The sequence below is a fragment of the Homo sapiens genome, chromosome 18 (genome assembly GCF_000001405.40).
Source record: "Homo sapiens chromosome 18, GRCh38.p14 Primary Assembly".
Lineage (NCBI taxonomy): Eukaryota > Metazoa > Chordata > Mammalia > Primates > Hominidae > Homo > Homo sapiens.
Window position 1 is genome coordinate 45,055,762 of NC_000018.10, and position 13,164 is coordinate 45,068,925.

At 40.3% G+C, this 13,164-nt stretch overlaps 1 protein-coding gene across 17 annotated transcripts in view; it reads left to right on the top strand.

Annotated features, from left to right (window-relative positions):
• The window catches only part of SETBP1 (SET binding protein 1), a 388,438-nt gene extending 375,689 nt beyond the window's left edge, over positions 1–12,749 (top strand). For all 17 annotated transcript variants that reach the window (XM_024451149.2, XM_024451156.2, NM_001379141.1 and 14 more), the window contains one exon: positions 7,318–12,749. In XM_024451149.2, coding sequence (XP_024306917.1) covers positions 7,318–7,937 — 620 coding nt within the window. In that variant the 3' untranslated portion in view covers positions 7,938–12,749. The remainder of the gene's footprint in view (positions 1–7,317) is intronic.

Genomic DNA, 13,164 nt, shown 5'->3' on the forward strand with positions numbered 1-13,164 from the left:
AACCATCCTCTTTATTAACAATTAGATGGTCCATTTTTTTTAGTCCAACTCTTCATTCGAAAGTAGTTCTGTTTGCAAGGTATTCAAATTTGCAGATTAAAGGGATTTTATAGGTTATATTATTTTCAGCAACAAAATTGCCAAATGGTGGAAACATTTGCAATAAATTTCTAAAACTGCTCTTTCTATAGCATGAGTTTCTTTCCAAAAGCAGTTACTTTCTGGCCCAGTTTACTGTAAAGGGACATTAAGTGTTTTGTTTTTTAACATCTGCAGGGTAACATTACTGACAGTCCATTGACAGCCTAGAAGAGTTAAGAAAATTTGGAACCCTTGTCTTTTTGTACAAGAAAATTGCCAAATTCATCTTTGAAAATGGCAACTCATGTATACAGTTTGGTGTGAAATAACCAACAGAACTCTATGTGGTATATAAAGTATTGTATGGGTCTTCTTCATCTCATTACAAAGTATTTTGAAATGTTTTTCTGTTGAAAAGTCTTGCTTTTCTAAAATTACCGTGTGGGCTGGCCTGCTACAGATTTAAAATATGGGACACTGACAGCACCCTGAAAGCCAGTGAGATCCCCCATCAACCCCTTGAATGCACATGGCCTCTCCTCCTCCCAGGAATCTCATGCCCAAGTGTGACAGGTGACCTGTCATCTGATGGGCAGCGCAAGTAAGGGCATGGCTGGAGTTCCATTTATTAAGCATTAGAATTATTTAGGTAAAATATAAATAATGTAAATACAAATTATTAATGTGTTCTTTCTGCAGCTCAGTAAATTGTCTGGCTTCCTCTGGAGGGAATGTGCACCCCACTTGGGAAGCTGCTGGTTTAATTTAGAGAGGCAGAGAGGAGGTGAACAGTGTGGGCAAGGTGGCAGGGGCAGGAGAGCACTAGGCCGATTTCTAAATCCAACACCCTTCCTGAGAAGATTAGAGAGCTGCCCTGGGGCACTAACTGTTTGGTGGCCTAGCCCACTTCAGAGCTCACACACATAAACATGCTCACACTTAACATACCCCACTGCTTCACCTCTCCATCAGCCAGTCTGCCCACCTCTCCTACCTTGTCCCAAGAAAAAATGTGAAATAGGAGCAGAACACAGACCAGAGTCCTTCAAGCCACTGCAACTAAGATAAAAAGTTCTTTCACAATAAACCCCTAAGAATAAGTTGTTGTTTGAATAGTCAAGCAGTTACTATGCTTTAAACAAGCTAGTCATGTTTTCAAAGAAACCCCAAAGTATGTTAAGATGATATTAAGAACAGAGTGAAAACACCATCATATGACAAATCCCCCACATCTGCTAACTCTTAATTCTAAATTACTGCTTTAAACTTAGCAGTTCTGTAGCATTTGTGTTGATAACAAGCAGCAACTCAGATGCCCCCTACCTTGCAGAGGCCTCACTAGCAGAGGCAACTTGCCATCTTTTTCAAAAGAGCTTTTAAGGCCAGGACTGTAGAAGGTTAATTTAAATTCTAAGGATGGAAGAAGAAAGTTTGCATGCCAAGGTAGGTTGCCTCATTCTCCCCATTAAAAATAAAAAGCAGCATTAGGAAAATAAGAGACCATTACCAAGGCAAGCAGAAGTACAAAGTAAGATAAATAAATAAAATGCAGGATTTACATTAGAGAACATGAGACAACTGAATGCCATTGAGCTTGTATTTGCTGATCACATAGTATGCACCAGATCAGGTACTGCTGTATCAATGGGCCTGTGCTGGGAACTCTGGAAGTAGAGAAAAAAAGATGTGGCCTTTGCCTTCAGAGAATCTTCTAACATGTATCAGCACACAGAGCAATTCATACTGCAACTCTCCGCCTTGATTGAAGCACAAGATATTCCAGCTGTATCTGCCCTGAAATGCACCCCAACTCCAGGCAGTTCAGCCTTCCTCAACATCTTTCCACCTCCCCTTAGGAACATTCAAACAGCAAGAAAAATTCTAAGGAATCTAGAAGTAAATTTGCCTCCCTCCACAATCCACCCAAAGCTTTCTTGTAAAATAGAATGTGTCTTGTACATGGGCAAAGTACAGTCCACAAACATGAGTGTCTATTTCTTGAGAATCTTCTATATAACTAAGCCTTGTTAGCCTTTGGCTCAGGGGGCCTACTGTATGTACAAATTCTGCATCCAAAAAGCAGTGCTAAGTCCATTCTCTAGTTACCATAAACGACTTGACAAAATCAACAGAATGCTGATGAGCCAATCTTCTGATAATGGGAGTGAAAAGATAGAATGTCTAGATCTGGACCAAAACCAGCTCAACCATTTGCATGGCAATTTCAAATATAGATAGGGTCTGAAAGAAAATTTGTATTGCCGAGTTATGAAGAAATGAATTTGCATTTTGCCTGGGCCACTCAATAATTATTCTTTAAAACTAACAAAGAGCAGGCAAGATATAGGACAATTGTAGGAAGGAGAGCAAATATGGAATCAATCTTGCAGCAAGAGCCCAGAAATGACTGTCCAATAATGAAACAATTTGAAGAGAGAAAAATCTGTAAACATTTAGAGGGACAGTGAAATCATAAGCAATAAGGGGAAAGATTTGTGAATATCAAACCCTGCCAAGTCTGAAGTTCTCCTCCCCCCACACTAAGATTTTAGAATTATTCGATTAAGTAAATGTTTTAGAAAGCCACCCCACATTTGGGGATGCAATTAATAATGAGTATAGAAAAGAATTACGGCAAACTAAATATAGAAGGGAACTTCCAAGAGCATCTGGTTCAGCCATCCAATGTAACAGATGAAGAAACAGAGATGGAGGGGTTAAGGGGTTTATCTCAGTTCACCTTGTTTTCCAGCTTCTTCTACACGGAATCGTTTCTACTGTACCATACTCTGCTATTATTCACACAGAGGAATGACAAATCTGAACTGAAAGTTTGGATAACAAGCATAAAGGAGAAATAAATGAAATTCAGATGTTTGGTAGATGTGAAAAACCCTAAAGATTATAATGTGCAAAAGAACGAGGGATACTAAGTCCTAATGCCTGATGCCATCAATGGAGATTGGCTCATGGCATATATTTATTTATGCAGTTGGTGAAAGCATAAAACACAGAGAACTCATTCATGTTTCTGTGCCATTAAAACAGGAGGGCAGCTACAAGCTAAGCCTTCTAGGGAGATGGTGGATGCATGACCTTCACGGGGAACATCTCCTCTTATCCTTCAAAAAATATTTAGGTGAAATAAAGCCCCAAGAGGGTGAAAATTAGAGCACTGTCCAGCCCTAAGATTTTAGGATGTTTTATTGCCACTTATTTATAATTTTTTTAACATTGTGTTATCAAAAATGTCAGACATATACCAAAGTAGACAGAATAGCATTAATAAACCTCATGTACCCATCAATATCAACTTCAGCTTCAACAATATCAACTTACAGTCAATCTTGTTTCATCAATACTTCCACTTACCTCCTCCCTTCCTTAGTATTTTAAAGTGAATCCCAGATGATAGTATGTGATTTCATCTATTAATATTTTAGTATGCATTTCTAAAAGATAGGTACTCAAAAAGCATAATCACAATGCAAATATCACACCTACGGAAATTAATAGTAGTTACATAATATCATGAAATGCCCATTGTTCAAATTTCCATTTATTTCATGATCTCTTTTAACAGTTTGTTCCAATTGTCATCCAAATAAGGTCCTTTATCTCTTTAGTCTCTTTTGATGCACAGTTTCATCTTCTCCCTGCCCTGCGATTTATTTGTGGAAGACACCAGGTTGTTTGTCTAGAGTCTCCCACAGTCCACAATTTACTGAATGAATCCCTGTGTGTCTTCTGTCCTCTGTAGTTCAAGGTAGTTAGTTCTAGATCTGTGCTGCCCCATAGGGTAGCCACTAGCCACACTGTAGCTATTTAAATGAAAATTAGGTGATATTAAAATTCAGTTTCTCAGTCACACCAGCCACATTTTAAGTGCTCAGTAGCCACAAGTGGCTAGTGGCTCTATGGGGCAGCACACACATAGAGAACATTTTCGCCATCTTAGAAAACTCTGTTGGACAGCCCTACTCTAGTGGCTTAATAAAACTCTATGAGGTTGCCTTGGGGGGAAGTAGATGTTGAGTAGTAGGTGAGTCATCCACCAAATCTTTGACTCACAGTTGATCTCCTACACAGCAGTCACTTTAAACCTCCACAACTGGACTCTGAAGATAAAATAAAAGTTCAAGATGTACGTGTGTTTTTAAAGTTATGTAAGTAGTATACTTAAACATGTTTTTGTGATTTCCTTTTCTACCCAACTCTTTAAATGAGATTTAACCATGTTGATATATTTATGTGTAGTTTATTCATTTTAATGGATGTATAATATTGCATTATTTTATGTAACACAGTTGATTAATTAGATTGTTCTCAGTTTTCTGTATCATACACTGAGCTTCAAGGAACATCCTTATATGACTTTTGCCTCCTGATATATATGAGTAAAGCAGGCAAGCTTGACCTGAAATTGCTGGGACACTGAATGTGTACATCTTCAACTCTAACAGTTATTGCCCAATCACTCTCCAAAATGATTATAACAATTTACACTCCCACCAACAGTATGTGAGTGTTCCTAGTTTCTTACATCATTACCAATACTAGGTAGATTCAGATTTTTAATTTTTACCAACATGAGCTCATATATATGCAACAAAAGGATTAAAACAAGCATAGAAAAAAGGGAAAGGAATGGAGAAGGGAGCCATGACTTAGCTCCATCTGTAATGTTTTCTTATTAAAAAAAAAATGACAAAAAGTTAACATTTGCTAAATGTGAATGGTGGGCACAAAAGAGTTGGTTATGTCATTTTTTAGGATTGTTTGGTAGATTTACACTATCAGAATTAATTTTTATTTCATAATCCTTTTTTAATGCAAAGACTTAATAAATTATTCAGCACATGTTTTTGAATATGGAATTATCTGCTATCTGCTAGGTTTCTGTTTATTTATTTTGGTTTGGAGATTTTGTTTTTGGGGTTTGTTTACTTATTTATTTTGGCATTTCATTTTAAAAAGACAACACATAGAGTGACAATCCATTGGTTATATTTTCCCCAAATGACCTGCAGCTCATGGAGTATTTCCATCAAGCTTAACTCGGTCAAATACAGTATTGCCAACTAATTGATTTACTTTATACTTCTATATTACATGTCAGCAAGGTGATTTACTTTATTCTTTCATGCTATTTTATATAATATATCACATAGCATTTGCTTCCTCTATGACTGATATAAACTAAAGAGAGGGCAAACTGTAAATGAAAGCTTTGCTTGGAATACTGTCAAGTTTTGTGGAGTATTACTACTGACTAGTTGCCATTGATTCCTGAACTATGTGGACAAGGTAAATTATCTGTCACTGACATGAAGGTGGGCTAAGTTTTAGTATCACTATATTTGCAATGATCACTTTAAAAATCCAAACTAGAACTCTTCTAGGGAATACGACTACAAGGCCTGATTAGACTGATTTGTCAGTCCAGAAACAATTCTTAAATCTCTTTTATATACAAGGCACCCTGCTAGGCCCTTTGAGGGACATAAAGACAGACAGGCATTGGTTCTTGCCTCTGATAACTTACAACCAGGCAACCTTTTTCTTTTACAAAACTAACTACAAAAATTTTATTTTTGTAGTCAGAAGCTCACTCTGGCTTTGTTCTATTTTGATCTTTATAACTTATTTTAAAGATCATTCAGTAGTTATTCATTGCTCGGTCAGTCTCACTGACCTTTGGCCAAAAGCTGTAACATTTTGACCTGGCCTGTGGGACTCAGCTCTTTCCACTCCATGAAGCTGGGGGTGTAAATAACTTCAAATAAAACCCTCCTGGCAATCTGTGCTGGGCACAGCATGAGAGAGAAATGGGACAAAGCAGAGGAAAGAATCAAGTGGGAGTACCCACAATAAGTGAGAATGGTATCCATGTTTTAAGCGTCTTTTTTCCTCCTCTCTCTTAAGATATTTATTCTGCTTCTCTATTAGTAGGTACAAAAGTAATAATGGGAGGAAACAACAAACCAAAATGATAAAATGCAACACACTTCCCTCTATGCGTAGGTCTTCCACATGGGCTCCTTTCGGGTTGAACATGCAGCGTAAATCATAGCGGCAAAGAACTCAGTGAAGACACACTTCTTATGTTTATAAACAGCCAGGGGGAGTGGCCACCTTGAAGGTGGAGCCATGGAGTCTGTGTGAGTGTATGTGCCCATTTGTGTGTGTGTGTGTGCATGTGCACACAGGTATCACACATGTGCCTGCTCATGACCAACACAAGGAGAAAGAATGATCTGCAGGAGGAATGGTTGGCTATATCTTGAAGCCATTCACGCTTTATGGTGTCTGAACTTCAAAACTAAGCAGTTCTGAAGGCCATTTAGTGGCAGCAGCGCAGGACTTCCTGAGACAAGAAGTTCGGCTCATAAAATAGAGGTGCAGCTGGCCAACAGGACATGAAAAGAGCTCTTTGCAAACGCCAGCCTGGTAGGGGTAGTGTAAATGATTCAGAAACACCTGGCTGATACTTCCCTTGAGGTTCCCAGAGGATGAACTGGTTATGAAGGACCTGGTTAACTGAATGCCATCAGGGAACTTGACTAGTCCAGAACACTGGGGGAAAAGCACAGCGAGATGATGCCATGATAACTAGAGTGCTCCAGGAAATAAGCCTCCTTGTGTCAGTGGAGAAGGGTTAGGAATAAAATGGTTCAGTTACATATTCTTATCCTTGATCAGGCCAAGGCATCTCTTCTATGAGATCGATAGTACATCTGCTTGATATGGAGGCCCACGTGCCTTTTTATTCATCTAACACCTACAAAAAGAGAAAGTCTAATCCTTTGCTAAATTGAATCGGATCAAATGTCAAAAAGGTGAATACAAAATTACCTATATAATAAGAGAAATAATGGGAAGATTTATATTGTGATTCTGCCATTGAGTCCCACGGCTCTAGGCCAGTTTACCTCCACAGTATGAGCCTCAGTTTCCACATCTTTACAACGGAAGCAACAATATTTCACATAATTGTTGGGAGGACTGAAATCATGTCAATAGAAGTACTTTGCATGCACAGTGAATATTTGAGAAATGTTTGTTTTTATTTTAATAAAGAAAAAGGAATAATGCATCTTGGGCACGGAGACATACCCATAGCATTAATTCTCTATAATCTTTATAGCCAAGTAGAATGCTAGCTGTCAGTGAAGAGGCTGAGTTGAAGGCACCTTGCATCCTGTGCTCAATTTCTTATCTCTTCCCCTCCCGCAGTCGGCTCCTCCCTGAAGAAGAGGTTCAAGCGGCGGGAGATCGAAGCCATCCAGTGCGAAGTGCGGAAGATGTGCAACTACACCAAGATCCTGTCCACCAAGAAGAACCTGGACCACGTGAACAAGATCCTGAAGGCCAAGCGGCTGCAGAGACAATCAAAAACAGGCAACAACTTCGTGAAGAAGAGGCGCGGGCGTCCCAGGAAGCAGCCCACCCAGTTCGATGAGGACTCCAGAGACCAAATGCCGGTGCTGGAAAAATGCATCGACCTGCCCAGCAAAAGAGGCCAGAAGCCCAGCCTGAGCCCGCTGGTGCTGGAGCCCGCCGCCAGCCAAGACACCATCATGGCCACCATCGAGGCGGTCATCCACATGGCCCGGGAGGCGCCGCCCCTGCCCCCGCCACCGCCGCCGCCCCTGCCGCCACCGCCGCCACCACCCCTGCCCCCGCCACCCCCTCTACCCAAGACCCCCCGAGGCGGAAAGAGGAAACACAAACCGCAGGCCCCCGCTCAGCCCCCACAGCAGTCGCCCCCGCAGCAGCCCCTTCCCCAGGAAGAGGAGGTGAAAGCCAAAAGGCAGAGGAAGTCCCGAGGGAGTGAGAGCGAGGTCCTTCCCTAGGGCGGGTCTGGGCGTCTGCACCTGGGGCCTAGGGAACTGACACGTGGGAAGCGCAGTGAGCCGGGGCGGGGGCGGAATCCCCCGCTGCAGGGACACCCACGCCCTTCTCTCCAGAAGCCGGGCAGGCAGAATCCGGCCAGACGACGGGGCTGAGCCATCAGGAGCTCTTGGGAAAGCAAAGCAGGGAGACACCTTCAGAAGAAGCTTGTCTGAGCTTCACCGCAGCTCCCACCACGCGGCGCTTCAGTACGGCTGGATCCTCCGCAGGCGAGCGGAAGGCCCCCAGGAGGAGCAGGCTGGTGGCACTCTCCTGACCTCACGCTGCCAAGGTGCGCCCTCGACTCCCGATTTCATTTGCTGGCCAGGAAAATCGAAAGGGAAACACCCTCAATTAGGAAACATTCCAAGGGGAGAAAAGCTGCAAATTGCTCAACTGGCATTGCTGTAACCCGTTCCATTTAATTGGTTTTTATTTCTTTTGATTTTCAAGCTCTGCTAAGCTTTGGGGTACCAACGTCATCTTCAGGTGACCTGAATCTTTCCCTTAACCGTACAGTTTCTCGATGGAATTGTGTGATCAGAAGGTGGAATTCTAGTGATAGGCGACCTCAGACCCGCATTCATGTTCTGTGTGCCTCTTCTATTGCACATACACTGATTTTTAGCATTGTCTATTCCTATTTTTCCTTTGCCCATTGTACTTCCATATATCTTTTCATTAACTTACTTGCTGCCTTTTTTTTTTCTTGGTACACATTTAAATAAAGTAATCCTTAACCTGTGCTGTAAAGTTCACCCTTGGCATGCTGTTCCAAGAACCTGGGTTTGAATCCCAATCGTTGTGAAACATACTCAGTATTGATAAAACCTTTTTAATAAGTGATGCAGAGCAGCCAAGGATATGTTGACCCAGATGTCAACCAGGCTATTTTTATACTTAAAACATGTCAGCAGAGCATAGGCAGAATAAAATGGTTTAAATACCCCACAGCAAATAGAGTAACTGACAAACCACCAAAAACTGAAACCCCAGACCCACCAGAAAGACAAGTGTCTAGCAATGCCTTGGTACCTGATCTTTTTCATTCAAATAATTGTCATAGGTTGTTCAAAAAAAAAAAAAAAAAGGAAACAAAAACACAATAGAAGTCCATTATCCCTTGATAATTATTTCTTAAAAGCAAATGGGAGTAAGTGTTCTTATCTGGAAAAATAAATAAATAAAATGCTCAAAGGGTATCACCACTTCAATTTTATCAAGCCACCTTGGACAAAGTATCCAAATTGTGGTTGCCTTAATAAACTAAAACATTATTGTACATAATGTAATTATAAATCTATCAGTCTGCATGGATGCAAACTGTGTGTGACAAATCGTCTTTTAAATGGTCAATTTCAGCTGTACATTTCTCATCCAAGTTGTACTCTAGCCATTGGTTTAGCGTGGACAGATACTCCATCTCTATTATCCATTTCCACAGCCCAAATAAAATATGTTAAGCAGGCTCAGAATGAATATGAAGAATTCCATTTCCGTAGATGTTTTCTAAAAGTCAGATTGTGGAAATTTCAAATAAGTATTTTCAATTTCCTCCCTCACTCCCTCTTACCTTCCCCAAGACATCAAACACCTGGCATGGTAGATTATAGAAAGAGACACTGAGAGAGAGAATTAAATTTTCTAATGGGAATTAGAATATCTGGTTTACCTCCAAATTAAGTTTCTTTACAGGAAGTTGGGACCAGCTGGAAATTGTATTATCATTTCGGAACACAATATTACTTCCTTAGAGAGAGATGGATTTTTGTTGGCAACATAAAAGAATAAGTGATGGGGTATCTATGTGAGTAAATTTTTAAATTCCAAGTTAATATGCTTGCAAACATTACTGCTGCGTTATGGCACCAAGAGTTGGTTGAAATTACCCACGTAGTCATACTCCTGTGCTCTGTCACCATGGACTTCACATCATTTGCTGCCCACTAGTTCAATCGCATTTAATCCTAGCAATATGTAAGTTTAAAGGACTGCATTCCCCTCTACTTTAAAGCTTATATCCTAGATACTCAGTTTGTGACCTTGGTTGACCTTTGGCATTTCACGCAAGTTGAACAGCAAAATCAAAGCAGCCATTTTTAATTCGTCATTCCCAAGCCCTATCTGAGTGGTTCCAAAGTCACCTGAGAGGAAGGTTTAAATTAGTCCCTCTCACCCCACCATTGCTATAAAACAGCAACGTTTTCATTCCAATTCAGCCATAAAGAGGTTTCTCTTCTTACTGGGTTTTGAAATCATTTCCTTTTTTCTTTCGTTTGCCCTTCTTCCTTCCTGTGTTGTACTATCTCTCCAACCACGTCTATAAGCAGACTCAATCTTCTTGCAGAGGAAGATGAGCTGGCACTCTGCAAACTTCTTTAATAAGGACCCAAAGTTTACTTGACATTAACCTCTAGTAGGTGAGAAATTCCAAAAAAGCTTTGGGGTACATTAGAATTTCCAAAGCTCTGAAAGATATTTCAGGAGATTTAACAGCAGAGTTGCAACTTACACGTGAATTCTGGTCTATAGTGGTCATGTGAGTTAAATTCGAATCCTCTACTTGTATGACCCTAGGAATAGATTGGAATACTGCAGAGGACCAAAGCTGAGGCATGCTAAACAGCTGCTTGGAGGTGGAAGCAAGTTCAGTCACCTACTCAGCTTCCTCTCTCCACCACCCAGTTCCTCCCTCAGTATCACATTATTTTTTTCTTCTGCTTTTCATTAACCTAACTCATCTCATCAGTACAACCATTTTCTTATTCTCTAACTACCCCCAATTCCTTTAGCCTCTCCCCACCTGTCCAAACTCAGCTCAGCCGTGGGCCAATGCAGCTTACAGACGGTTGCAGAGCTAGGAAGAAAACCCAGCTCTCCCAACCCTGATCGTGGAGGTCTCTGGCCCCCCAACACTGCCTTCTGGGGGCTGCATTTTTTTTTTTTTTTTGAGAAGAGGTCTTTTGGGATGCATGGTGCTCCACATACAGCTTCACAAAATATTTCATTATAAGAGAAACCCCTTGATTTTTATTTCTTTTTCTTTTGTTTTCTGGATTACCTGCCTTCAGTAAGCAGATGCAGACCCACTTGTAAGGAGTCTGGTTAGTGATGAGAAAAGGATGAAATCTAGATACAAAAGTCACCTTGAAGGTGATGATGGATCTTTAATCCACTTGACTAAGTGTCTGGAAGAGCTACTTGCTCTTCCACCCCTCATCTCAAATGAGAGGAGCAGAAGTTTAACTTCCTCAAATAGCCCAGCTCTGGCTAAAACCCAAAGAAGAAAGGTCAAAGGAAGGGAAAGCATGTCAGGGGCTGGTTTGTGACTTGGCAGGACCAGGAAACAGCAGCCACTGACAGCCCAGAGAAGGTGACTAAGGGCTGGCAGAAGATTAGAATGTTAATTTGGCTGCTGTCCGGACTAGGAGGCCATGTTCAATGGCAGTCAGAATTTGTGTTCTGCGCATTGCTGGGTCTATAAATATGATAAGCAAGTGGTGACAGAATTATAGTATAAGGTGATGTACTACATGCAGATCATAAAGGCTTTGGTTTTAAGACTTAAGTAGAAAATCCCTCTCCTAGCTTATTACCCAACAATATTCAGATAATGAGCTTTTGGAGAATATCTTTTTCCTATCACTAGAAAGATTTACCTGGGAACTGTCTAAAGTCTACACACATATTTCCAAAGCCTTTAAATACCAACTGCAGCATGGAGAGAGAGGGGTGGCAGAAGCTGAAATGCCTCAAAAGCCATTTAAGTGTTACGTTGCAGGATTTTCAGTCCTTCTCGTTATGTAAAAGTAGATAAATATAGACGTTATTCTCAACACTACCCTATAGTATCACAGTGGTCCAAATGCCAGAGCTTACAGATAATGTCATCACAGTGCCTAGAAACTCGAACTGTAATATATCGTAGCATTTTCTTGGTGTTTCTTAAAGTTTCTTTCCACAATACAAGGTCCTCTCTGCCTCTTGTTTCTTGGAGAGTTCACCCCACTGATGAGTCTTCCTTCCCTGTTGGACTCAGTCATTTGGGGAACAGTCTTAGAAGCACATATCAACCAAGGAAGAAACTTCCTGGATATCTATTGCCCACTTGCCCAGGTCTAATAAACACTAAAGGGGGGAAATTGAAAGGAGCTGCCAACTGGTCAACGTGGAAGGGCGGTTCCACCCTAGATTGGTGTCTTTCTTTTTCTTCCTTTTTTTAAAAAAAATCTATTTCTTAAATAATAATAAATGCACATGATGTGTTAAATATGTACATATATATTTCAAAAGAAAAAATGGGGCACAAGATTGTCTTACAAGTCGTGCTGGCTAATTTTTAGTTTGTATTCATAAGTGGTTTTTAAAAGCCTTTTTTAAAGTGTAATTTGCATGTTCTACTTTGATTGTATGTAAACATATTTTAGAACAAAAAATGTATTTGTATTTTATTGAATATAGAGGCAAGAAAATTGTACATTGTTTGAAATGTTCTTTTTGTAACAGTTTTTATTCATAAAGCATTTTTGTACATTTAAAATGAACATGGACTTGCTGTTATTTGAGGCGTAGATACATCTAGCATGCTTACTGTCATGCTCCTCCATGGTCTTAGATGTTGGGTTTTAAACATTTTTTTCTAAAAGAAAGCTCAGTCTTTTCCGCTACCAGATCAGGTTAGCACAGTATAGAGCACTTAACTATTAAAAAAAAAAAGTTAATCCTATTCATATGTTATTCATTGTGTGAAATTAAAGACATTCAATTCAGTCTAACATGAGTTGTGAATTCTTTTGTTTTATTTTCCATCTGGTTTACATCACTAAGGAGTTTAATAGCATTTGGGGGTCTTTGCTCACACCAACTGGATACAGAATCATTGAGAAAATTTTAACAACCGTCTCTCTTTTGTATGATACTGGGAAGTACATTCTGGGTAAGAGTTGAGTCTGATTTACTGGGTTACTGTTCACAGAGTATTGCACTAACTGGCCACCAAGCCAGGGCTGATTCATAGAACCAGTTAGGCCTCTGCTGAAAGCAATCAAAGGGTACTGTAGGATATTGAAGACCCACCCTGTCCTAAATTTTTAGAAGAGCATTACAGATAGGGATTAAGCTTTCTTACTAAATATCCCATGATGTCAGACATCTGAAGGAAGGATCCCTGGCTGCACTTAAGGTTTTACT